Here is a 27,772-nt window from a genome sequence, read left to right as displayed (position 1 = left end):
ATGTTTTATTTACAAAAAAGATCACATATAATTAGCTGAACTACAATTACTGTATATTATTATGTTAAACTGTAAACAAGTTTTTAATGGAATGCAAAATTAAACTATTTTTATACTCCTTAATTAAATAATAGAATCCTGAAATGGTTAAAATGAATGGAATGTGTAATTGTTATCGCTAATTTTCAATATACTTATTATAAAACAACACTTATCTGTTTTTTTTTTTTTTGGAGACAGAGTCTCGCTCTGACACCCAGGCTGGAGTGCAGTGGTGCAATCTCGGCTCACTGCAACCTCCACCTCCCAGGTTCAAGCGACTCTCCTGCCTCAGCCACCCAAGTAGCATGCACCAAAACGCCAGGCTAATTTTTTTGTATTTTTAGTAGAGACAGGGTTTCACCATGTTGGCCCGGCTGGTCTCAAACTCCTGACGTCGTGATCTACCCACCTCGGCCTCCCAAAGTGCGGAGATTACAGACGTGAGCCACATTGCCAGCAACAATATCTATCTTTTAGTGCATTTTCTAAACAGAATTCAAGTTTGGAGGTAATAATTTTTTATTGGAAGTTGTTACATAGCTACCAAATTACAATAACTTATTGATAACTATGACTATGTGAACATTTTGGGACACGAAGAATCTGTAGGAAAAACAGGGAAAGTAGCCAAATCATGTACCATAAGTCGACTTGCTCAATGGTTTCAGAATCTTTGTACAACTATTCAAGCAATAGATTATACCTAGCTATGAATGTTATGTTCAATCAACAATATGTATGAAAATTTTATTACATTCATTTACACATTCTAAATTTTAATGAATGTATTCTTTCAACAAGTAATATATAGAGCACAATTTAGATCATGGTAAAATAACTTATACTGGACTATCCCTTCACCTTAAACAATTGTAAAACAATACACAATATATAGGAGATACTCTTTTCAGATATTAAACAATAGCCAGTGAAGGACTGCTGTTCTTGACAGAAGGGAAAAATGTAACGTGAGACTCACATTTTCCCTGGCTTTCTGCCTGGAGTCACATTCTAGGGGAAAGTGGAGAGCAAGCAAAACAAAGTGCTTTCACTTAGTAGAGAAGGCAGAAATCAGAATTCTGTGCTGCTTACGTAGCTTCAACTGATGAGGCAGAAAAGAAAAAAACGAGCAAAATGAGGACTCAAAAGTCTGCACGGCCCTGGTCCATGATTGATCCAGCATATGCAAGGTGAATTTTCATAACGTATAGCAGAGTAGCTGCCACAGCACTGAGAGCGGAATAGAGACACAACACAGTGAGCAGAACAGGAAAATGTTGGAATTCTGGCTCAATCATGGTAGGCAAACTTCACCAAAGAACTTGGTCACTTAGCTGAGACTTCAGAAAGAATAAGTGGTCAGAACTGTACTCTATAGTAAATAATATGCTCTAAGACCAAGAGAAAATAAAAAATACATCAGCTGTAACAAATAATAAATTAAACCTAAAATGATCAAGAAGATCTGCTATTAATTAAGCTGCCTGCGAGAAGAAAATTCAACACTATTAAATGTGAGTATAAAACTATTCGATGTAACTTGCAAATTTACAGATTTCAGGGGTATATACTTATCTCCAAGCTCATCAAATTGTAAATGTTAAACGGGTATAATTTTTCATATGTCAATCATACCTCAATAAAGCATTTTTTAAAATGTGCATCATGAAACAAAATTTATGAGTTATGTGAAGAAGCAGAAAAATGTTACATAAAAATAATTCTTTTAGTTAAATTGATACAGACTCTCTGGGAACTGAAATATTGAAATTAATGGTTAAAGAATTTAAAATATCTATTTTAAACACGTTTAAAACTCCTAAGGAAAGATAATATGAGTGAACAGATGGGGAATTTCAGAAAACAATAAAGCAAATATAAATAAATAAATTAGAAACCAGTATAAATTCAAGAAGTAAGTAGTATATATCTGAAATGAGTATTTATGGGATAGATTTAATAGCAAAATGTAAATTGAAGGAAAACAGGTCAATAAAGGTTGTCCTAATCTAACATTTGAAAAAAACTGATAACTGAAAATTTCCTATATTGGTAGAAAACATTAATACATTTTTATAGTCAGTGAAATCTAAATAGGATAACAATGACAAAACACATATTATAGTTTACCTTATAAACCAGGAGTAAAGAGAAAAGCTTAAATGTTGCCAGAATAAAAAAGTCACATTACATAGAGAACAGTGATACAAATGATAACTCCTCAGAAACAGTGGAGGCCAGATGACAAATAAATAGGATTTTTAAAGTGCTAAAAGAAAAACTAACAAGCAAAAACAATAAAATCACTGCCAATCTAGAAATCAATGCCTGACAAGATTATTCTTTAAAGAGAAAGTAAAACAAACATATTTCCTGACAATTCAAAGATAAATGTATCCCCAATAAATCTGAATGCTAAAGAAAAATGTTCAAATGAGATCTTCAGGCTGAAGGAAGACATATCATGTTCTAACAGTTTACATGAAATGGAACAATATTGATATTAAGCATATAATACGTTAAAGACGCCTATTGCAAACCACAGTTGATCCGGGTGTCCAATAGCATAAGGCAGAAGCAATGGCAAATCACATCGGAGATTGGATTATGGAAAACTGCAGATTGAGTCTTTTGAGATCTTGCTCTCTCTCTTTCAGGATAGGCCAACAACCAGGTCTTGAGGAAAGTTAGGCAGCCTTTGGAAAGGCCCACAAAGTGAGAGACAGAGGATTTTTTCTATATATATATACACATATATATATATTTTATTATACTTTAAGTTCTAGGGTACATGCGCACAACGTGCAGGTTTGTTACATATGTATATATGTGCCATGTTGGTGTGCTGCACCCATTAACTCGTCATTTACATTAGGTATATCTCCTAATGCTATCCCTCCCCCTTCTCCCCCACCCCCCAACAGGCCCCGGTGTGTGATGTTCCCCTTCCTGTCTCCAAGTGTTCAGAGGATTTTGAACAACAGTCAAAAGAAATGGAGGTCTGCTAATGATCCTCTGAACAAGTTTGGAAGGAGATTCTTCAGCCCCATTTGAGCTTTGAGATGATCGCAGCTTTATCTGACAGCTTAATTATAGTCTCATGAAAGACCCTGAGCCACAACTACCCATTTAAGCTGCTCTTGGATTCCCGTTCCTCAGAAATTCTATGAGATAATGTTTGTTGTTTTTTAATTGCTAAGTTTAAGTGCAATTTGCTTTATAGTGATAATAACTAAGACATGAGAGTAGATTTCATAACATAGATAAAATGGACAATTTCCTTAAAAGTTACAAACTACCAGAGCTCAGTCAACAAGGAATAATCTACATCTTTCTATGTCTGTTAAAGAAATTTAAAACATCAAATTTGAAACTGGAAAGTAGTGTATTTTAAACTGAATGACAAAAAATCAACCTCAGATATCCAAATATATATGCTGCAACTAAACCATCACTAAAATAAAACTATATAGCTTTCTACTTTTATGTTAGAAAAAAATAAGGGCTTTAAATTCAACAATTTAAGATTCTATCTTAAGAAATGAAAAAAAGTGAATTAGCCTAAAGCAAGCAAAATAAAGGAAAAAATGAAAAACAGAAATAATCAAATATAAAACAAAATAACAATATAAACAAATCAATGAAACCAGAAGTTGATACTTTGAGAATATCAATAAAATTAATAATGCTCTTGCCTGACTGATCATGAAAAGCAGACACAAATTTTCAGTATCAGGAATGATAGAGGTGACATCATTAAAGATACTACAGACATCAAAACGGATAATGTACTAGTTTTGATAAAGTATTTTACATCTGTTTATAGATATTTCCCATCTAAATCAAAGATCTGAGTAGCACAGCATTCAATTGTAGAAACACTGATACTTGTGGAATGTCACTTGGATTATCTCAGGAAGAGTTTTTACATAAAAAACAATGTAATAACATTTTATTTTTATTGATCTATGCTATAAAGATTCAAAAAATGTGTTTCAATTTAATTAATGAAATGTAAGAACGTTTCCAGTATATAGAACTAATTAGTTTTAATAATTATAACAATAACAAAATGTACATTTCTTATATCATTGGACCATAATAAGTCTAAGAAAAACTGGTACATTTAGATTGGTATCTGTAGAGCATATCATATCGTTGGCATGATATATATGAGTTCAATAAACTTATGTTGCATAAAGATTTCCAGTAAGCAGATTTAAATATTGTTTATATTGTAGATTTTTATAAATAATATTTCTAACTTGTTCAGAGGGAAATCCTTCTCATGATAATACTTAAAAGTTGTATAGAACAATATTCAATTTAAGCTAAAAATATAAAACAAAATTTATATGTTCAACAAAATTACATAAAAACATTGTCATATTATTCTTTTAAGAATGCCAGTTCAATTAGCTTTATGGAATCATAACTGAGGACATATGCTCCTTTTTCTTTCAAGCAACTTTTATGGCCAAATATACGAACAATATTTCTATTCCTCGTTTCTTGATGTGGCATTATGGCTTTCAAATTTGGATATTTTTATGCACGCTACACTAGTATACTCTCCAAAGAGAATCCTGAGGACATAATCAGACACTTCTGCTTAATGGGTTGCCCAACTTGACTTTTTTAGGCTGAAGTTGATGGCTCTTTTAGCAATAATATTAAATAGATAGTAATTTGTTGACTTGAATAATTTATCTTTGATTGTATTACTTGACTTCCAGCCATGATCATCATTTTCATTTTTTATGGAGGTATATTTTTTCATTTAATCTTTCAACACTTTTCCTTATAGCAATACTTTTTATATTACCAGCACTTTGCATATATCAGTTTTTATTTTGTGGCTGAGGAATAGTACTCAGTCTGCAACAGTGACCAGTAACTTGCATCAGTGTCAAACACAGTATCTCATAATTACTTGGTAATATATGGCAAGAGTGTATTGAAATTGTTTTAATAACAATTGTGTTTTATTTTTTATTTATGCAGGTTAAGTTTACTGGAAAATTCAACACTAAGTACTTTATATTAAAATAGAAATAGATATTTTCATGCCTTGAGTGTTAGAGGGGTAAATTTGAGAAGTACCAGTATTAAAATTGAGAAGTATAAACAGAATATCTGTAAACACTTTTAAATTAGCTATTAAAGGCCTATCAAATCAAAAGCTATTACATAATGTTTTAAATTATTACAGTGCCATAAATCCGGAAGATAATAATTGTGCAGTTTCTGGCTTATGAGACAGATTCAAGTAGCTGTTTTGGTCTGTGTCATAAGAGAAATGGGAGATCACCAAAAAGATTGAAAATGAAAAGTGACATTATTGAATTCATATATTTTAAAAATTATTCATCTGGATCTTCGATAGAGAAGATGTACTATATTCAGTGGGGTATAGAAATATAAGAATAAAAGAAAGAAACACAGTTACTTAGTTTTCCTAGTGATGCAGCCATAAGTTAATAGTAGCTATGGGCTAGGACAGTGTTTCTTAATGTGTGGTCCAGGGACTTGTCGGGGAAGAGGATGAGACACTTCAATGAGTCCAGTAGATCAAACTTTTTTTCATAGTAATATAAATATAGGATTTACCTTTCACTTGTAATATCTCACAAGTGTGCAGTGGAGTTTGCCAGAGGCAATATAACATATGCTATTCTAAGGAATGAAATGCAGGCAAAAGCCATGGGAATGCAACTAACTATCTTCTAAGTCAGAACAAAGGAATTTGTAAAAATGAACAATAAAGCCAGCCGGGCACAGTGGTTCATGCCTGTAATCACAGTGTTTTGGGAGGCTGAGGCAGGCTGATCACTTTAGAGCAAGAGTTCAAGGTCAGCCTGGCCAATGTGGTGAAACCCCATCTCTACTAAAAATATATATAAAAAAAAAAACCGGTGTGATGGCACATCCTTGTAATCCCAGCCACTCGGGAGGCTGAGGTAGGAGAATTGTTTGAACCTGGGAGGCAGAGATTGCAGTGAGCCCAGATGGTGCCACTGCACTCTAGCTTGGGTGACACAGTGAGACTCTGTCTCAAAAAATAAATAAGCAATAAAATAAAATAATGACACTTTTCTCACTTAGTTTTGTTTTGGTAAAAACAGTTCCCAGAAAGTGTGATAACAAGGAGTGAGTCTATTATTCCTACTTATACATTAATACATTTTTAAATTTTCAATTTTACATTACAATATGGTACGTGTCAGTAGATATAACCAATAAACAAAGGTTATTGAGGATCCTCAATAATATTTAAGAGTATATAAAGATCTTGCACCTGGAATGTTTGAGAATGAATGGACTAGGAGTCTGGCATCTATAGGATGACCCTCATAATTTTAACCTGCTAATTCATACAGCTTTAAGTCTTACTTCCTGAATTCCCTCAGCTTCTATATACAATCACAATAATTTATGTTAATTCTATATTTATTTTCATAACTATACAATGTATAGTATTTTCAGAGTGATCAGATCAAATACTTGGGTTTGGCACTCTCAAATTTTATATCCATTCCATTCCATTCTATTTGAACATTGGAAAACTAAATTCTAAATTTCTCACTATGGTGAAGATTAGTTTGTTCAACCAAATCCATTCTCCCATTTTTAATAGGAATATAAGGCAGTAAATTGTCATGAGAAATTAATGAAATTGAAAATAAGATATCAATGGAGAAAACCAACAAATTAGAAATTGGTTCTTAGGAAAGACCAATAAAATTAGTAAAACCTATAAACAGGCTAACTAGGAAAAGAGAAAGAACATAAGTTTAAAAAGTCAGGAATGTAAAAGGGAACATCACTACAGATCACATGGACATTGACAGGATAATAATAGAAAACTATGACTAACTTTATGTCTACAAATTTTATAATTTAGACAAAATGAAAAAATACTTCGATAGACACAATCTACCAAAACTCATACAAGAAGAAATAGGCAATCTGAATAAACCTATATTTGTTAAAGAAATAAGTCAATAATTAATAGCCTCTAAAAATAGAAAGGTTCAGACCCAGACATGTTCAGTTGTAAATTCTGACAAACATTTAAGGAAGAAATTTTGCCAGTTCTCTACATTTTCTTTCACATTTAGAATCAGAGATAATACTTCCTAACTCATTTTATAAGGCCATCATTATCCCAATACTAAAACAGGCAAATATATTACAAGAAAAGAAAACTACAAATATCTTTCATAAACATAGATGCAAAAATCTTCAACAAAATATTAACAAACTGAATCCAATAGTATATGAAAACAATTATACACCATTACCAAATTGTATTTATCCCAGGCATTCAAGCCTGGTTAGACATTCAAAAATTTATCAACAAGGCTGGGCGTGGTGCCTCACGTCTGCAATCCCAGAACCTCGGGCGGCTGAGGTGGGTGGATCACATGCGGTCAGGAGTACAAGACCAGCATGGCCAACAGAGTGAAAGCCCATCTCTGCTAAAAATACAAAAAAAAAAAAAAATTATCCAGGTATGGTGGTGTGTGCCTGTGATCCTAGGCACTCAGGAGGCTGAAGCAGGAGAATCGCTTGAACCCAGGTGGCAGAGGTTGCAGTAAGCAGAGATTGCACCACTGCACTCCAATCTGGGTGACAAAGCAAGACGGTCTCAAAAAAAAAAGAAAAGAAAAGAAAAATTGATCAACAAACTAAAGAAGAAAAATTTTATGCTTATATCAATAGACACAGAAAAAGCATTTGGTGAACTGCCATACCCATTTATAATTAAAAATTCTCAGTAAATTAGAAATAGAGGAGCTCTTCCTTAATTTCATAAATGATATCTACAAAAATCTTACAGCTAGCATCATACTTAGTGGAAACCAGTAGCTTTCCCACTAAGATCAGGAAAAAAGCAAGTGTATTCCTTCTCACCATTGTTTTTCAACATCCTGTTGGAAGTCTTCACTAATGCAATAAGAAAAGGAAATTAATATATATACATAAGGAAAGAAAAAATAAAATTGTTTTCACTTCACAAGTGAGATGACCATCTATATAGAAATTCCCAAAGAATCAACAAAATAAGATCTGGAAATAATAACCAATTACAGCAGATAATCTTGCAAGATGAAAAGTTAATACAAAAAATGTAAATTGCACTTCTATATATCAGTAACTTACAAGTGGAATTTAAAATTTTTAAAAATACCATTTACATTATTACTCTCTCCAAAAATAATATCCTTATGTAGATATTTAAGAAAATATTTATACAGGAAAACAATAAGACTATGATAAAGTAAGCAAAATAAAACCTATATAAATGGAGAGAGATTTCATGTTCCTGGATAGGAAGGCTCAATATTATCAAGATATCAGCTCTTCTCAAACTGATTAACGTAATTCCAATCAAAATCCTTGCATATTGTTTAATGGATATTGATGTACTATTTCTAAAATGTATAGGAAGAGGCAAAAGAAAGAAAGAAAAAAAAAAAAACAGAATAGCATTCAAGTCTTGCCATAAAGCAACAGTAATCAAGACAGTGGTTAAGGACATTGGTTAAAGAATAGACAGACTAACAAAACAGAATAGAGAGCTCAGAAATAGACCCACATAAATGTGGTCAACTGATCTCTAACAAAGAAACAAAGACAATACAATGTAGAAAAGATAGTCTTTTTAAGAAATAGTGCTAGAACAACTTGTTATCCACATGGAAAAAAAAAAAGAGAATCTAGACACAAGCCTTATATACTTCACACAAATTAACTCAAAATAAGTAACAGATCTAAATACAAAATACAGAACTATAAAAACTCCTGAAAGATAATGTAAGAGAAAATCTGGATGAACTTGCGTTTGGTGATGAATTTTTAAATGCCACCAAAGTCATTCTTCCTGAATGTAAGAATTGGTAAGTTGAATTTTATTAAAATTAGAATTTTCTGCTCTGCAAAAGACACTGTCAAGAGACAAAAAAGACAAGCTATAGACTGGGGGAAAATAATTGCAAAGACATAGCAGATAAAAAGCTGCTATCGAATTTATATGAAGAACATTTAAAATTAAACAGTAAGAACACAACCCAGTTAAAAAATGGGCCAAAAACCTTATCAGACACCTCACCAAAAAATATATACAAATGGCAAACAAGCATATGAAAAGTTACTCTACATTATATGTCATAATTAAAACAATAATGAAATAGCACTACATGCCTATTAGAATGACCAAAATCCAAAACTAACAACATCAAATGCTGGTGAGAATATGGAGCAACAGTAACTTATTCATTGCTGATTGGAATGCAAAATGATACTACCACTTTGGAAAGCAGTTTGGTGGCTTCTTACAAAACTAAACAAACACTTATAAGAGAACTAAGCAATTGTGTTCTTTGGCATTTACTCAAAGGAGTTGAAAATTTATGACTACAAAATAACCTGCACATGGCAGCTTTTTTAATGGCAGCTTTAGTCATAATTGCCAAAGCATGGAAGTAGCCAAGTTGTCCTTCAGCAGGTGAATGAATAAATAAACTGTATACATCAGGCAGTAAAAAAATAGTGGTTGCCAGTGGTTAAAGGAGTAAGGGGGCTAAAACTATGGCACACAGAGAATCTTAAGACAATGAAACTACTCAGTATGATACTGTAATGGTGGATACATATCATTATACATTTGTCTAAACCCACAGACTACATAAAACCAAGAGTGTATCCTAATGTAAACTATAGACTTGAGATGATAAATATGTGTCAATGTATTCATCAATTACAATCAATGTATCACTCTTGAGAAGCAGTTATGTTCATAATGGGGGAGACTATACATGTGTCAGGGCAGAGAATATGTGGAAAAGCTATTCCTTCTGCTTAATTTTTTATGTTAACCTAAAATGTCTCTATGAACCAGAGTCTAATTTTAAAAAAGTATATATAGTGAATAAAACATGAATATACAGTGAAGAAAACATTATTTCCTGAAAAACAAACTGTTTAACTATCATATTTGGTCTAGTGTATCAGTTAGGAAGACAGAAATCACACTGCTTATGCTAGCGATGATAATTTATTATGGAGGATTGTTTCAACAGATTTTGAAGTTGAAAGGGAAAACTCAGGTAATATAGCCATAATAAGAGCAGTAAGGAGCTTATGTCCACCTATCACATTTCTTGCTAATGTGATATTTATGCCAATCAGACCATTACATTTTATCTGTATCCTTGAAATAAAGTAACCTTGCTGAGACTTGGCTTAGTGTTGCTCATTTGTTTCCACTTTTCCAAGTACATGGTGTGCAATTTCAGTATGGATAGACAAAACTTCTTTTAGTTTAGGACTTGTCTTTGAAAAATATCTTAATTTTGTTCTATTCAATTATACAATAATATGCTTTTCTTCATTGAAAATTTCAAAAAATAAAGATGTTGATTCTTCTTTAGTTACCTTGCAAACTACCATTGAATCTCTTTTAACTTTGTTCATTTCTGCTACTTGTCTTATGTGTCTCAATTTTAGCCTTTATCTTAACTTCCTTTAAATATCTTTACATAGAGTTGAAGAAAGTAATAGAAAAGGAAAGACTCCATGAGAACACACCTAAGCACAGGGAGGAAAATGGTTCAGGGTATGAGTCTCAGGGAAGACGTTCAATGCAAATTCCTCACTCTAAGGTAAGGGACCTCCTCATTATCTTCCTAACAAGATTTTAGAATTTTTATAGACCAGTACTAGCTGTGAAACTCGCATTCTTTCTCTTCTCATGCTGAAGTATTTATTGCCATTACCCTGTCCCTGTTCCACCAATATACTATGCTGTAGTGGAGAGAGCAGGACTCTCTAGGGAGTGTGAGGCAACTAGGAACTGGTTGTCTTCTTAGTATATGGATGTCTGTATCAGGGGAAGACACATATTACCTGTTATAGATATAACCACTAATTCCAAGTCTTTGAGTGTGATGACATGATTGGGCAGGGTTTTTGTTTGTCTTATTGAAGGAGCATAACTGAGTGTATATTTCAAACAAAATAAACAGTGAAAGACTATCTGTAAATAATAGATATTATATTACATATCTCAATTATCTACAAGTCAATTTCTGTTCATTTCTGAGGGAAGATTATATTCTCACTCCCAGTAGATATTAGCATTATCTTTGCATATGTTAATCAATGAAATATGGATGAAAGATACATTTATTATCTAAGTAGAATTTTCAAGACCCAGCAAGTAATCTGGCCATTTTTTTGTTGTTGTTTTGTTTTGTTTTTTTCTCTGTTATAAGATTGGCAATGATTACTGCCATGAGATTTGCTTTAGTGCATATCTAGTGAGGACAAAATTGAAATTTTATTAAGTTGTTGAAAACCACTGAGATTTGGGGGTTAATTTTTACTATAACTCACCTAATCTATCATTTTCTAACTGATATACTTTTCATTCCATTCTGTATACAATGCTTTCTTTTGGCATTGAACTATATCTAGACAAACCGTTATTATTCACTCATGTACCCTTTTCCCATGGTTCCAAGCTTCTGAGACTTTTATATTACTCTTTCATTCTGGATAACTATTTACTGCTAATTTTGTCTGAGGTTAGTTGCAGATTATACTTCTGTTTATCATTTCTGTGGATGGAAAATTGCCGGGAAGGAAAGTGTGCAGAAATGAACTTACTCCATTATTTTTGTAACCTATCTTTCACTCAAGGTCATCGATTTTCTTAGAATATGGTTTGCCTATTGTCTTTCTAAGAATTTTCCTATTAAAAACTAAAATAATAATCCATCATCTATCATTTTAAAGTTTGGTTTGTCTGAGTTTAGAATTTGTGAAGCAGTGTGACCAGAAAGTCTAGGTTTCAATTCATTTTTTCCTAACCTTCTACAAATGTCTCATGTGTCTTCAGTTCAATTTACAAATGTGAATAATTTTTATCTAACAATTCTAAAGTATGTAGTTTTGCTTCCATAAGAAAAACACAGTTATGCATTCATATTTTGTTGGTTTATAAAATGTTCATTTCACTGAAATAACTTTGATGATAATATAATAGCACTAATATTTGATACAAACAGACCTGATTTGGATTTGCATTCATTTAACCAATGCAGCAGAGAAATGACAGACTTTTTTTTTAAAGTAGTCTATTATTCATGAAACATATCTTTCTATGAACATTAGTTTGTATATTTCATAGAGAAAATTTTCAAAAAAAACATAGCTAAATACAACTAAGAGATGGGCATTTCAAAGAGCTATTTACATGGAAATATCTATGTCAGGACATTAAGAATGCATGTCTCTGAGTAATAGAATTTTATGACTTTCTTAATATTTTGTTTTTTGTGTTTTTCTATGATTCCACATTCAATTTATATGTTATTCTTATTCTTAAAATTTGATCATAAAAATAGAATATCTGTAACTTTTATGCTTTGGCCAAAGATTTTAACCTTTCACTTAGATTTTAATCTAGAAAAAAATTAAAATTAAGAATATTAAGTCTTTCTTGTTTCTTCATTTCATTTATTTTACAATTAAAATAAATTATTTCTTTTATTAATAATTTTGATTATTCCATGTCATTAAAGAAGTATTATGGAGGCTTCATACGTGATAGTCCACTATATACATAGTGTCTTGTCTCTTCATGTTTTCTTCTTCTAGCCCTTAATATGGCTTGTGTTATACCTTAGCTCACTTTAATTATTAATGTTCTTGACATTTGTATATAGATATATTCCACATATTACAATTTCTCTTTTTTTATGCACCATCATAGATCCAGCTCAAATTTCTTCCCTTTTTAAGTTTTTCCTGGACCCCTTGGGTAAAGGCAGACGCTCCCTCACTTTTGTATTATTTCTTCCATTTAGCCAATAATTATTTGCCAATCATTATTATTCCTGTTTTGGTCCATTCATTCAGTTAATTGGTGCAAATAAACCACAGAGCCAGAGGTAGTATCTTCATGGAGTTTATATACCAATATACGAAACATACATTTGGAAAAATGCATAAAATTGCATTAGTGATATGGATAAAATAAAGATTTTAGGTAATAGAAATTAATTGAACTGATCAATTTAAATTTATAATGCTCATGGAAATATTTATTTTCCATTTCTTGTTTGCATTTTATATTTTTGACTTGTGCCTTTTGCCTTTTTCTCATTACCTCTATTAGTCCAACTGGTTCCCTCTAATTTTCCTCCCCCACTACCTCAATATAAGTGGCAAGAATCATTATGAAGATACAGTATAATTATATTAGTAGCAGACAGTCTGTGAATAGATAAGTAAAACAATTTTTAATCAGTGCTGGATATTATTTATTTCAAATTATGACTATTTTCATTTGAGACGCTTGGAGCTCAAAAATATGTTCACTGTCGTATTCACAGACCTGTGAACTGTGAAAATAATCCACAACTACCATATGTTAAAAGGACTATTTAAGGTGACACATAAAATTTACTTATTTTTACAGTTTCCTTCTGCCTTATTTTATAATAAAAATTCTACATTGTTCAACCAGCTTTTAATTATAATTAAAATCAAGTGGCATTGCTATAATTATTCAAAATATATTTTGTAGGTTTTTCTGCAGCCAGGGACAATACCCCGTCATCCAGATGCTGTAGTGGGAGCTGAGTATTTAAACTGAAGACTGAGCCTAACTGGTTCTGAATCCAAAACCAAGGTCTAAAATGGGCCAAGATGGGCCAGGAGAGCATACACAACAGTATGCTGGATAAATAAGAGAATTCTAAACATTCCTAGTAAATATATATATATATATATATATATATATATATATATATATGAATTCTAAACACTCGTAGTGAACATATATATTTATGTTTAGATAATATATATTCATATATATTCATAAGGGAATATATATATTCATAAGAGAAATGGCTCAGTCATATGAGTTTAAATCTAGCGTGTCTGAAAATACTTGTATTTATTCCTAAATTGAGCAATTCTTGCTCTTCTTATAGTAAACACAGATAGTTAACTACCCTCTATTTTTTCCCCTGCCTTCTTACTAACAAGTACCTGGAATTTGTTCAGAGCAGCAAAGTACTCAGAAAAAAAAAGATAACAACAGGATATTCCAAAGACAGAATGATAAATAATTTATGTATACATTTAGATATAGAAGCAGATGTGAATTTCAGTAACCTGTGGCTCCTGTGGTTGATATTTTCTGGCAACTTCTAAAACCATTATTTCACATTAACATTAATTTTAGCCTTTAATAATACTTCACATCATTATTTATTTTGAAAGCTTATGCAGTTAATGATTACTGGGATTTCTTAATGGTTCATTAAGAAAATTTTGCTTAATACAAGTTATTATACTTGTATTTTCAAGGCAATGGTCAAGATACTGAAGGCTATATAAAGATTCCCATTTTGTAATATCACCGTCTAACTTGTTTCGAAGCATTCTAGTGTAACTTATCACTTATCCAGAATTTTGTATTTTTATTAACATTTATTTCTAACTAATTAATAGGCTTATCACATTCAGTTTGTCTAAACAATTCCCAATTCCAAAACTGTATGCCTGTAACATTCTAATATTAATTCCCATGCTTCTCCACTCTAAGTAAATGGAACCAGCCTCTACCTAGTTCAAGCCAGAAACCTGGAATTTATTACTTTCTCGTCTCTCTTTGTCTCTCTCTTTATCTTTCTCAATCTACACATTTATTAATCCCAATTATTACTATTTTGAACCCTGAGAAAATATATTAGTCAATCACCCTTTAACTTGTGTATAAAATTAATAATTTAACAAACATTTATGACCACACATTGATAAATTGGCACTGCTTGTTTGATAGACCATAGTGATGGTCTATCACTATAGTGATAAGTAGTGATGATGGGTAAAAAGCCCAATATTTCTGGACTTTCACATTTTAGAAAGGAACACACATAGTAAAATAAGCACAAACAAAAGTTGCAGCTGTTATTATAAATCTTATCTCAACAATAGATTTGCATGCAAATTTTTATTTTTATGATTTAAAAATTATTTTCAAACTTTTTACACAAGAAAATGCACATTGCAGAATACATGCATTTTCATTTGATGACACAAATATATGCATCTCAAATAATTAAAGATATGTATCTAGGAAATTTAAAGTAATTAAAAATATTAAACATAACTTAGAAAATTACTGTTACCTTTCCACAAAAAGCCTTCTAAATGATTTGAGATTTTTTTTGTAAGTTAATGTTAATAGAACCACAAAGAAATATAAACTCATGATTCACAAGAATAGTGCCTGCCTAGAAAAAAGAAGAGAGATGGCACTCTGAAGTGAACTGATTTTATTATATGTGGTACTTTCATTAGGCATTTCTGTAGCAGCTCTCAAGCAGCACAATTAAAGAAAATCGTACCTTAATTTTTTTAAAAAAGGAGTATATTTTCTGGCAGGCATTCAATTTAAGTCAACAGGGACAAAAACTAAATGCTTAAAGATTTTTTATTATTATAACAACTTATGATCATTTCTACCTTGAAAATTGATGTAACATTTATGTTCCGTACATGTTTTTCTATGCAAATAAAATGATTTTGAATTCTTTATTTTTCATAAATAGGCGAAAAAAGTTGCATAAAATGTGCTTTACCTAATGTCATCTGAATTTGAAATCAAATACATTTAAATTAATTAATTAGATCCAGTGTCTTTCACTCTTGTCATCCACAATTCAAATTAATATTTTGTTGGTGGCACTCCTGAGACACAGGCTGGGAGATCAGGGTTTGCTTCCATGCAGGTTATAGCAACCCTCTCAGGCAAAACATATTTCAATGAGTAAGAGAAGCAGGATTTGGCAGAAGCAATAATTGAACTGTAATGCAATTGCAACATTATTTTTTTCAACCCTATAAAGAATTCTGAAGCCAGAATGATCTTTCCAATGTGTCCTAAATTAAGACCAGCCAGCCAATCCTTTATATTTCCATATTAACCAATCATTGAATGTGGGCTGTTTGGGGAAAGAAGGATGTAGTAGCTCATTTTCACACTGCTACAACAAACTACTTGAGACTGAGTAATTTATAATGAAAAGAGATTTAATTGACTCACTGTTCCACATGGCTGAGAAGAGTGGACGGTGAAGGGGAAGCAAGGCATGTCTTACACTGTGGCAAGACAGAGAGTGACAGGGGAGGTGCCACACTTTTAAATCATCAGATCTCACTATCCTGAGAACATCATGAGGGAAATTGCCGCCATAATGCAATCACCTCTCATGAGATCCCTCCCTTGACATGTGGGGATTACAATTTAAGATAACATTTGGGAGGGCACACAGAGCCAAACCATATTATTCTGCCCCCGGCCCCTCCCATATCTCATCCACTTTTCACATTTCAAAACACAATCGTGCCTTCCCAACAGTCACCCAAAACCTTAATTCATTCCAACATAAATCCAAAGTCCAAGTCCAAAGGACAAAGCATGTCCCTTCCGCCTATGATTCTGTAAATCAAAAACAAGTTACTTATTTCTGAGATACAGTGGGGGTATAGGCATTGGGTAAATACACCCATTCCAAAGGGGGTAAATTGGTCAGAACAAAGGAGCTAGAGGCCCCATGCAAGTCTGAAACCCTGAAGGGCAGTCATTAAATCTTAAAGCTCCAAAATTATCTCCTTTGACTCCCTGTTTCACATCCAGGGCATGCTGATGCAACAGGTGGACTCCCAAGGCTTTGGGCAACTCTGCCCCTGTGGCTCTGCAGAGTACAGCCCCATGGCTGCTTCCAAAGACTGGTGTTGAGTGCCTGTGGCTTTTCCAGGAGCATGATGCAAGCTGTCAGTGGATCTAACTTTCTGACATCTGGAGGACAGTGGCCTTCTTTTCACAGCTCCACTAAGCAGTCCCCCAGTTGGGAATCTATGTAGGGGCCTTAACACCACATTTCCCCCTCCACACTGCCCTAGTTGAGGTTTTCCATGAAGCCCCACCCCCGCAGAAGACTTCTACCTGGACATGCAGGTGTTTCCATACATCCTCTGAAATCTAGATGGAGACCCTCAAAACTCAACTCTTATCTTCTGCATACCCTCAGGCACATGGAAGCTACCAAGTCTTGTGGCTTGCACCCTCTGAAGCAATGACCTGAGCTTTACTTTGGCCCCTTTTAGCCACAGCTGGAGCTGAAGTGGTTGGGAAACAGGGCACCATGCCTCGAGACTGCACAGAGTAGTGGGGCCCTAGGCATGGCCCACAAAATCATTTTTCCTCCTAGGCCTCTAGGCCTGTGATAGGATGGGCTGCCATGATGATCTCTGAAATGCCCTGCAGACATTCTTCTCCATTCTCTTGGCTATTAACATTCTGCTCCTTGTTACTTATGCAAATTTCTGCAGTTGGTGCCTTGAATTTCTCCCCAGAAAATGGGTTTTTCTTTTCTACCACATGATCAGGCTGCAAATTTTCCAAACTTTTATGCTCTGCTTCCCTTTTAAAAATAAGTTCTACTTTGAGACCATCTCTTTATGAATGTATATGACTATATGCTTTCAGGAAAAGCCAGGTCACATACTGAATGCTTTGCTGCTTAGAATTTTCTTCTTCCAGGTACTCTAAATCGTCTCTCTCAAGTTCAAAGTTTCACAGTTCTCCAGGGCAGGGGCAAAATGCTGCCAGTCTCTTTGTTAAAGCATAACAAGAGTGACCTTTATTCCAGTTCCCAATAAGTTTCTCACTTCTATCTGAGACCACATCAGCCTGGACTTCCTTTTTCATATCCCTATCAGCATTTTGGTCAAAACCATTCAACAAATCTCTAAGAAGTTTAAAACTTTCCCACATTTTTCTGTCTTCTTCTGAGCCCTCCAAACTGATCCAACCTCTGCTCATTACCCAGTTCTGAAGTTGCTTCCACATTTTCTGGTGTCTTTATACCAGTGCCCCAAACTTCTGGTACCAATTTTCTATATTAATCCATTTTCATACTGCCTGAGACTAGGTAATTTATAAAGTAAAGAGGTTTAATTTACTTACAGTTCCCCATGCCTGGGGAGGCCTCAGGAACCTTAAAATCATGGCAGAAGGTGAAAGGGAAGCAAGGCATGTCTTATACGGTGGCAGAGGAGAGAGCAAGAGTGGAAGTGCCACACCTTTAAACCAGCAGATCTCATGAGAACTCACTCACTATCATGAGAACAGCATGCGGTAAACCACTCCCCTGATCCAATCACCTCCCACCAGGTCCCTCTCTCTACATGTGGGGATGACAATTCCAAATGTGATTTGGGTGGGCACACAGCGCCAACATATATAAGGGGATAATTTTTCATATTAGTGCTCTCCAGCTGAGAACATTGCTTACTGGGGAGCTTCAGCAGTCAGGCACCAGTAGGTGACATTTCCAGCAGTTTTGGAAATGAAAGCCTTCTCTATGCAGAAACTCTGGATAGCACGTATTAGCATCTTCTACAAGGTAAAGTCAGTAAATTCTAGAAGTAACACCTAAATTTATGCTGATTGCAATATATATATATATATATATATATATATATATATATATATATATATATATATCATGAAGTTGTATCCAACCACAGTCATTAAGATAAAATGTTTTTTAAAAATTCAACGTAATAAACCATTTGAGGTTGACATAACAAAAATGGTGCATGATAAGCTTGTGAAATCTTTCTCTCAATCCTTCTTTTACAATTTTTTTTATGAACAGTTGACTAAAATGCAATCAATTCACTTCAGATTTTTTATTGAAGAGAATTGCAGCTTCTTTACACACTTATTAATTCTTAAATTTGAGCCTAGTTGTTACTCCTGGACATATTGTCAAATGCCCTGATGTCTATCATACAGGAATACCCAGTCCTAGAGCTTAGCTGGTTGCTAAGACCATCAGAACAGCCACTGGATTTTTTACTAAGGTGAGATGGTTAGTCCTATCAGCCAAGAGTATTAAAAGTCAGTGATGGAATCCTAGCACTACTTTTAGAGAACATTGGTTACTGGGTCACTGCTATTGATTAAAGAGAAACATATCAATTACCAAATCCAAGAGTCCAGAAGGGGCCTGAGGTATAAGACACATCCAGGACTAGAGGATCTTAAACATGACAAAATAGGTGATAGCCAAAGTAAATTAAGAATTCTTGAGAAAACTAAAGCAAATAAGCTTAAGATGGCTATTTGTAATTTTCATTGATTTCTCATATTTAAGCATGTATTCAAGACATACACATAGGTGGAATGTATTGCGGCTGCTGTATGCTAAGAAAATATAAAGCCGTCTTAAGCCAGCTGTAATACCACATGTGTGACAGTGCCTATCTACTAGATTTTCAGATTTTGATTTTTTGAGACATGACCTCCTGCCCCCTCACACATATCTGTATAAAATAAGACACTCAAAATAGAAATTAACCAAATAGAGGAAGTTGTTCATAATTTGCTTGAAGTTTGTTACAGTGGGGTTAGGAAAGGGAATATTTTGACCTAGGAAACTTTAGATAGTGTTAACAATGTTGAACTACTGTGAAGGAAGCAGGATCCGAGTCATGGCATATGAAACAAACAATAAAATTTATTAGTAATTTGTTTTAGTCCATTTGGGCTGCTATAACAGAATATCATAAAATGAATGGCTTATAAACAATAGAAATTTATGTCTCACAGTTCTGAGGGCTGGAATGTTCAACAACAAGGAGCTAACATATTTGGTGTCTGGTGAAGATCTACGTTTTGGTTCATGCATGCTCACATGGCTAAAGGGGATGAGGTAGTACTCTTGGGTCTTTCTTATAAGAGTGCTAATCCCATTCATGAGGCTCTGCCCTGATGAGCTAATCATTTTCCAAAGACACCCATCTTCAAATACGATCACATTGAGGATTAGGTTTCAACAACGAATTTGGTGGAGGGGGCACAAACATTGTCTATAACACTCTTCATCAAAATATATATTTTTTACTATGTGCAAAAAACTTGAGAAGCCTAAATGTAGTTAATTATGTTTAAATGCTAGAATAAATGTTACTCATTCGAAGTAAAATATGCATTAATGATCTAATATTAACTAAAATATTTTAGATTTTTGATTTTTATAGCACATGATTAATTTCTATAAAAATAATAGAAAGTATAAATGCTTAAGATTTGATAATATGTCATTGTTTATCATGGCTTATAAACAATTTTGTTTGTATACCTTTCCTTGAAATACATGGAAAAAAGTCTTCCTTCATTTGTCTCTCGTACGCGATGCAATAATACTTCCTCACACATATGAAGTCTATATTTTATGGATAATTTGTATGCATTAATTTGGTATCATATGTTCATTATGGAAAGAAAGTCCTATGAAGGCAGAGGCTGAAAATTTTTAGTGGGTATATGTTTTTGTTTTGTTATATTTGCTTCTCGGCCTATATGTTTCATATGATTCTGATTCTAGTTATGATAAGACCAAAGTTTGTCCAGTGAAGTTATGCCATCTCTTTGGCTGCAATGTTTGGTCTGAGGTTGTGTATTTGATCCAAAGTGTAATGATGAGATTTATATGAGAAATCCTATTAGCACTAACAGAAAAAGTCCTGCTCTTGCTACTGGGAATGTAAAACTGTGACTATTTAAGCCTGAGAACCAGGGCAGGAGAATTATAATAGGAGAGCCATGCTAAAAGCTTCCTGGTAATTTTTGAACGGCTAAGCCTAAAATCTCCTCTTTTAGAATCCTCAATTGCTTGAACCAAAGCATTTTTTTTATTTGGTTCAGTTAATTTGCACCTAAGAAAATCCAAAAAATTAGTATTTTATTATCCTGTTGTATCCTAAGGGTAATAGAAAGAAAACAAGAAAGAGATATATTGAACACTACCAAAAATGTTTGGAGTCCAGTCTCACACAGAGTATATATGGATGGATCATGGTAATTACATAAAATCTCACACAGATAATTGCAAATTGATTTTACTTTGATTAATCTTTGTTTTCAAAGCTCATAGGGCCTCCTCAGCAAATTTTAGAGTCATATATTTTATATTTTCTTTGGAGTTAAAGTTCTATACTTCAGTTTTACATAGTGAAAAGTATTTATCTCTTAAATTATCACAAATATATATAACTATTTTTTGGAAATTAAATGCTAATTAATACTGAAAATAAGCAGAGACAACACTATATTCATTGATATGCACTGTAAAAGCAGTAAGATATAAATGGTTCCTAATATTTTAGCATTTGGATTTTTAACATTGTTTGCACATATTATACATTCTATTCTGGCATGATGTATACTCACATAGGAATAGAATTGGAGGTGCCTGTCTTATTCCAAGGGAGGTATAAAAATGTAAATAATTTTTTTTTACTATCAATGTTTCTGTCCAATTCAAGAAAGTCATTTTTATGTTTGAATTCTGAAAATGAAATTCTTACTTGGGGAAATAATACTTTTTTTTCCTAGAAAAACTTTTTCTAACTATCTGAAGAACATCCTTCAAAATTATGTCAGACAGTGTTCTCGTATATCTTAATATATATTTTTAAATATAGTTTGGCTGCCTAGTGGAATATATGCTTTAAATTATTTTTTCATAATTTTGAAGATATTGTTCCACTGTCTTCTAATATGACATTCAGTGTTGAAAATAACATAGATAGATGGATAGATAGATATTAACAAATACATATATCACTTTTATTGTCTCTATATAGATTAACTGTAATTCTCCCCCTTTAAGGATATGTAGGATTTTCTGCTTTCCTGAGTGTTCAAAATGTCTGAGAGTAAAGTTTTTCCTTAATTTCTGATCCATTCTCATCTCGTATTGAGTGTTAACTTTACATTTTTCTCTCTTGTCTCTTTTTCTTTCTATTAGGCAAATGTTGCAACTTCTAAGAGTTCTTTTCCGATTTAGAACTTTTTTGCATAAATTCCATGTTCATATGCCTTTATAACCTGCTCTTAGAATATTCCTCAACTTTGTCTTCTAGCTCATAATATGCTTCTCTACTGTGTCTATTATATACTTATTTTATCTATTATGTTATTACTCCATGATCACTTTCAGTTTATCTAGTAACTGTTCATTTATCTATTAACTCTATTTCCTGCAACTTTTCTATTTTTCCTCTTTTATGATGCTGACTTTAATATCTCGTAATTCTTGGTTATATGCTCACTTTGTAGTTGAGTTGTCCTGGTCTATCTTTCCTTTTTTTTTTTTTTTTTTTTGAGACGGAGTCTCGCTCTGTCGCCCAGGCCGGAGTGCAGTGGCGCGATCTCGGCTCACTGCAAGCTCCGCCTCCCAGGTTCACGCCATTCTCCTGCCTCAGCCTCCCGAGTAGCTGGGACTACAGGCGCCCGCTACCACGCCCGGCTAATTTTTTGTATTTTTAGTAGAGACGGGGTTTCACCGTGTTAGCCAGGATGGTCTCGATCTCCTGACCTCGTGATCCGCCCCCTTCGGCCTCCCAAAGTGCTGGGATTACAGGCGTGAGCCACCGCGCCCGGCCTGGTCTATCTTTCTGTTGAATCTGCACAGTCAGTCTAGGCATGTGTGGGATCAGAAGAACTGCTAGTTGTTTGCTGTGTAAATGGAGAAGAGTCATGGCATAGAACTGAGTGGAATACTTCATTCCATACATAAACATTGCCAGAAGCACAGAAATTTTTGGCCCTTTAACCCAGGGTACCATATCCTCTGCTCTAGGTAGAAGCAAACCCCCATTCTTTCCCATTCCTGCTGCCTCTCCCAGGAAGAATGAAAAAGGATGTACATAAATCAACCATTCTAAGCTTCTACAGTAATCCCTCCTAGGTCACCTTGTGATTATATGCTATATAACTGGCCCATAAAAACAGAAAACTGGTCAGGTAGGAATAAACCATGAAGTCAAAAATGTGATATTAATTTAGGGATTACCATTTCACCAAGAAAGAAAGTTTACTAGCGCTAACCTTTTAAAGAAATAATCAACAAATAAAGACTGGAAACCATTTCCTGGATTTTCTACCTGGCGATCTTTAGTAACTCCTTCTATGGAATATTAATTGGTATAACGGGATAGAAGGCAGATTTGGGCAGGTCAAGGAGATAATTATAAAAAATTACTTTGGAAATCAAGTCAGCAAGTATAGATGGTGTTTTTAAGTGATTGAATAGGAAAGGAGTGATTTAAATATAGATCTGTAGATTATAGCAGGCATTTTTTGTTCCTTATCCAATAACCATTTTCACCTTCTGTTTTATAACAAAATTTGATGTTTATCAAGGAAGCTGTGGTTGATAAAGCTCTAAGAAGGACCTGATATCTTTACACTTGTATAATTCCCCCTTCTTTGAGTGTGTGCGAGACCTGTGAATGTGATGAGCTATCTTTCCCTTGATTGTGATTGTGTTATATGTCATTGTCAACCTTAAGGTAGACAGATCATCTAGGTGAGACCATTGTAATCACATAAGTCCTTTAATAGCAATGAGTTTTCTCCAGCTGGTAGTAGAAGAGGAAGTCAGAAAGATTCAAAGCATGAGAAAGATTTGACATTTCATTGCTGATTTAAAGATGGAGGAGCGCTTGTGAGAAGAAATGTGGGTTGCCTGAAGGGGCTGAGATACATTACCAGATGACAGCTAGTGAAGAAATGGGGAACCAGACCTCTAATCACAAGGAACTGGATTTTGGCAGCTACCAAAATGAGCTTGGAAGCAGTTATTCCACAGAGCCTCGAGATAAGATTTCCACCTGGCCAGTACACTGATTCTGGTCTTGTGATACCCTAAACAGATAAACATGTTGATTTCCCCCAGAATTCTGACCTAAATAGATATGAGCTAATAAATGGATATTGTTTTGGCCATTAAGTTTCTGGTAGTCTGTTATACAGCAATAGAAACTAATGTATCAGCAAGGTTTCTAGCTAAAATGTCTATCCTTCCCAGAACCTTTCATTTGGAGGTGGCCATAGGAAAATATCTGTTAACTTTTAATATGTAGGTAGAAGTCTTTTTGAGAAATCTGGAAAAAACTTTGGCTTTTTAAACATAGGCTTCATCACTTTCTTCCTTTTCATCCCTGACATGCAAAAGTAGAAATGATTGTATGTGGCCCGTCTTGTAAAGATGAGGCAACAAATATGATGGCAAAAGTCAACATAATAGGGACATTAGAATTAAAAAAAAACTCTTTAAAAACTGGACTGATGATACAATGAATGAAATACAATGTTAATTTTGTAATGATTTTATCAAGACTCCTGGTTATGTGAGAAAATACATTTGATCTCTGTGTATAAGCTACTGGAGACTGGTATTTCAATAATTAGCATCAAATGTAATTATCACTAATGTGAGGGTGAAGGGACATTTTAAAAGTAAGTTTAAATTTTTTTTTCTTTGTTTATTGGGGCCAATAGATAAGGAACATAAGAACCTTTGTAGGCTAATATTGGTAAAATGTATATGATCACAGGCTAAGAGAATGAGGCTGACAAAGTTAATTTATAAAAGGATATGAAAGAGAGTACTGTAAGGGTTAAGTCAAAAACAGAGGGTCTGTGTGTACTGAACAAAAAAAGTTATAACTATGCTTTAATTTAGGTTTGCAGGTATGGGATGAAGCTGGAGATGGGAAATAAATGCCTAATCACTCTAATTATCAGATTAAGCAGGACATAATGCCTTTTGCTGAATGTGATGAAGATTGGAACTTGAGGAGCTATTAGAATTTTGCAATAATTGATAAGATATAAAACTGAGATATTTAAAGAAAAGTTTTAAATAAAACCTGTTAAGTGGCTTGATATTTACAAAAGTTCAAAGGCATATTTTTTTGAAATATTGGCAGTCTGTAGTGAGGTAGGTTTTTTTTTGCCAGCAATATTATGGAATCAAAAAATGGAAACAAATCCTGAGAATTGGGAAACTGGTCACTACTGAGTGATTGAGGACTTTTTTGTTTGTTTGTGTAAAAATAACTCCACTGGGAAGAGACAAAGAAGTGGTAGAGTAATGCATCTCTTCCAAGCTCAGGAAAATGTGTTGAAGACCAAGAAAAAAAAAGAAGAAAATAGACGAATCAAGCAACTTGAGCAATGTTACTCAAAGTGTTGTTCATATAGATCTGCATCTGCTTTATTGAGGGTGCTTTGCCCCTTTTTTAAAGCAACATTATTAGGACATAATTAACATACTTGTATCTCTTCCTTAGAATGTTTTCATTTGTGTTTTTCCATGTCGTGCTATGTGTTACTATTTTATTCCTTTTTATTGCTGAATGTTATTTTTTTTAATTGATATCTCACATTTTATTGATCCACTTGTCAGTTGTGGGCATTTAGGTTGTTTCAGCCTCTTATCTATTATAAATAAGACTGCCATAAATATTCATGTACAAGTTTTTGCATGGATGTGCTTCTATTTATCCTGGGTATACCTAGGAAAGAAATTCCTAGGTTATGTGGTAACCCTATGTTTAACATTTTGAGGAGCTTCCAAACTAGTCACAACAGAAAAATACTAATGAAGTTTCCAGTTTATCTATATTCTTACCAACATGTACTATTATCAGTCTTTTTATTATAGACATCCTAGGGGTGTAAAGAGGTAACTCATTGTGGTTTTGGTTTTCATTTCCCTATTGACTAATAAGGTTGAATATCTCATGTTATTGATGTATGTTTCTTGGCTGTTTGTATCTTTTCTTTAGAGAAACATTTCTTTAGAAACTTTTCCAATTTTTAAATTGGTGTGTTTATCTTTTTATTTTTGAGTTGTAAGATTATTTATATATTCTAGATACAACTTCTTATGAGATATATGATTTGCAAATGTATTTTAGCCTATGGCTTATCTTTTCACTTTATTGATGGTATCATTTGCAGAGCAAAAGTTTTTAACTTTGATGAAGTTCAATTTATGTAGTTTTTAAAATTAGTTTATTCTGCTTTTGGTGTTATATCCAAGAACACACAAAGTATTTGTTCCTATTTTTTTTTAAAGTTTCATGGTTTTAGGTTTTACATTTAAGTCTATGATCCATTTTGAGTTAATTTTGTATTTTGGAGTGGAAAGGTACCACTTCATTCTTTGCATATTCGTATCCAGGTGTTTTATATAATTTATTTGAAATTTATTTTTATTTTTAATTTTTGGTGGTACATAGTAAGTTTGTATATTTATAGGGCACATGAGATGTTTTCATACAGGCATGCAATATGAAATAAGCACATCAAGAAGAATTGGGGTATCCATCCCCTTAGGCATTTATACATTGAGTTGCAAACAATCCAATTAAACTCTAAATTATTTTAGAACATACAGTCATTATTGACTATAGTCATGCTATTGTGTTATCAAATATTAGGTCTTATTCATTCTTTCTTTTTTTTTTTGTATCCATTAACAATCTCCACCTTCCCTCCAGTCCTCCACTACTTTTCCCATAGGATCTGATAATAATCCTTCTACTCGCTATGCTCACGAGTTCCATTGTTTTGATTTTTAGATCCCAAAAATAAGTGAGAACATGCAATATTTGTCTTTCTGTATCTGGCTTATTTCACTTCAGTTCACTTCAATGACCTGCAGTTATGTTCATTTTATTGCAAATGACTAGATCTCATTATTTTTTTATTGCTGAATAGTACTCTATTTTGTATAAGTACCACATTTTCTTAATTCGTGTATCTATTTATGGAAACTTAGGATGTTTCCAAATCTTAGCTATTGTAATCAGAGCTGCAATAAACATAGGAGTGAAGATATCTCTTCAGTATACTGATTTCATTTCTTTTGGTCGTATACTCAGCAGTGAGATTGCTGGATCATATGACAGCCCCCTTTTTAGTTTTTGAGTAACCTCCCAATTTTTCTCCATAGTGGTTGTACTAATTTACATTCCCATCAAAACTGTACAATGGTTCCCTTTTCTCCACATCCTTGCCAGCATTTTTTATTGCCTATTTTTTAGATATAGGTAATTTTAACTGGGATGTGATGATATCTCATTGTAGTTTTGATTTGCATTTCTCTGATGATCAATGATGTTGAACACCTTTTCAAATACCTGTTTGCCATTTTGATTGGGGTATTAGTTTTTTTTCTATAGAGTTGTTTGAGTTTTTTATATATTCTGGTTAGTAATCCCTTGTCAAATTGGTCATTTGCAAATATTTTATCCCATTCTGTGAGTTATCTCTTCACTTTGTTGATTGCAATCTTTGCTGTACAGAAGCTTTTTAACTTGGTGTGATCCCATTTGTCAATTTTTTCTTAGATTGCCTGTGTTTGTGGGGTATTGCTCAAGAAATCTTTGCCCAGACCAATGTCCTGGAGATTTTTCCCAATGTTTTTGTGTAGTAGTTTCATGGTTTCAGTTCTCATATTTAAGTCTTTAATGAATTTTGATTTGATTTTAGTATATGATGAAAGATAGAGGTCTAGTTTCATTCTTCTGCATATGGATATCCAGTTTTCCCAGCACCATTTATTGAAGAGACTGTCTTTTCCCTGTTGCACACTATTGGCGCCTTTGTTGAACATAAGTCCACCATAAGTGTCTGAATTTGTTTCTGGGTTTTCTATTCTGTTCCATTGGTTTATGTGTCTGTTGTTACTCCAGTATCATGATGTTTTGGTTACTATAGCTCTGTAGTATAATTGGAAGTCTAATAGTGTGATGCCTCAAGCTTTGTTCTTTTTGT

The 27,772-nt window shown here is 33.4% G+C and overlaps 1 long non-coding RNA gene across 1 annotated transcript in view; it reads left to right on the top strand.

Annotated features, from left to right (window-relative positions):
* Positions 1 to 1,109: 1,109 nt before the first annotated feature.
* LOC107986223 (uncharacterized) overlaps positions 1,110 to 27,772 on the top strand; it is a 123,399-nt gene continuing 96,736 nt past the window's right edge. The window contains exons 1-2 of the long non-coding RNA XR_001741503.1: positions 1,110 to 1,556; positions 10,591 to 10,709. This is a non-coding gene — a long non-coding RNA (uncharacterized LOC107986223). The remainder of the gene's footprint in view (positions 1,557 to 10,590; positions 10,710 to 27,772) is intronic.

Source organism: Homo sapiens, chromosome 4 (genome assembly GCF_000001405.40).
Source record: "Homo sapiens chromosome 4, GRCh38.p14 Primary Assembly".
Lineage (NCBI taxonomy): Eukaryota > Metazoa > Chordata > Mammalia > Primates > Hominidae > Homo > Homo sapiens.
Note: the sequence above shows the minus strand (reverse complement) of the source record. Positions and strands in the feature narration are given on the sequence as shown.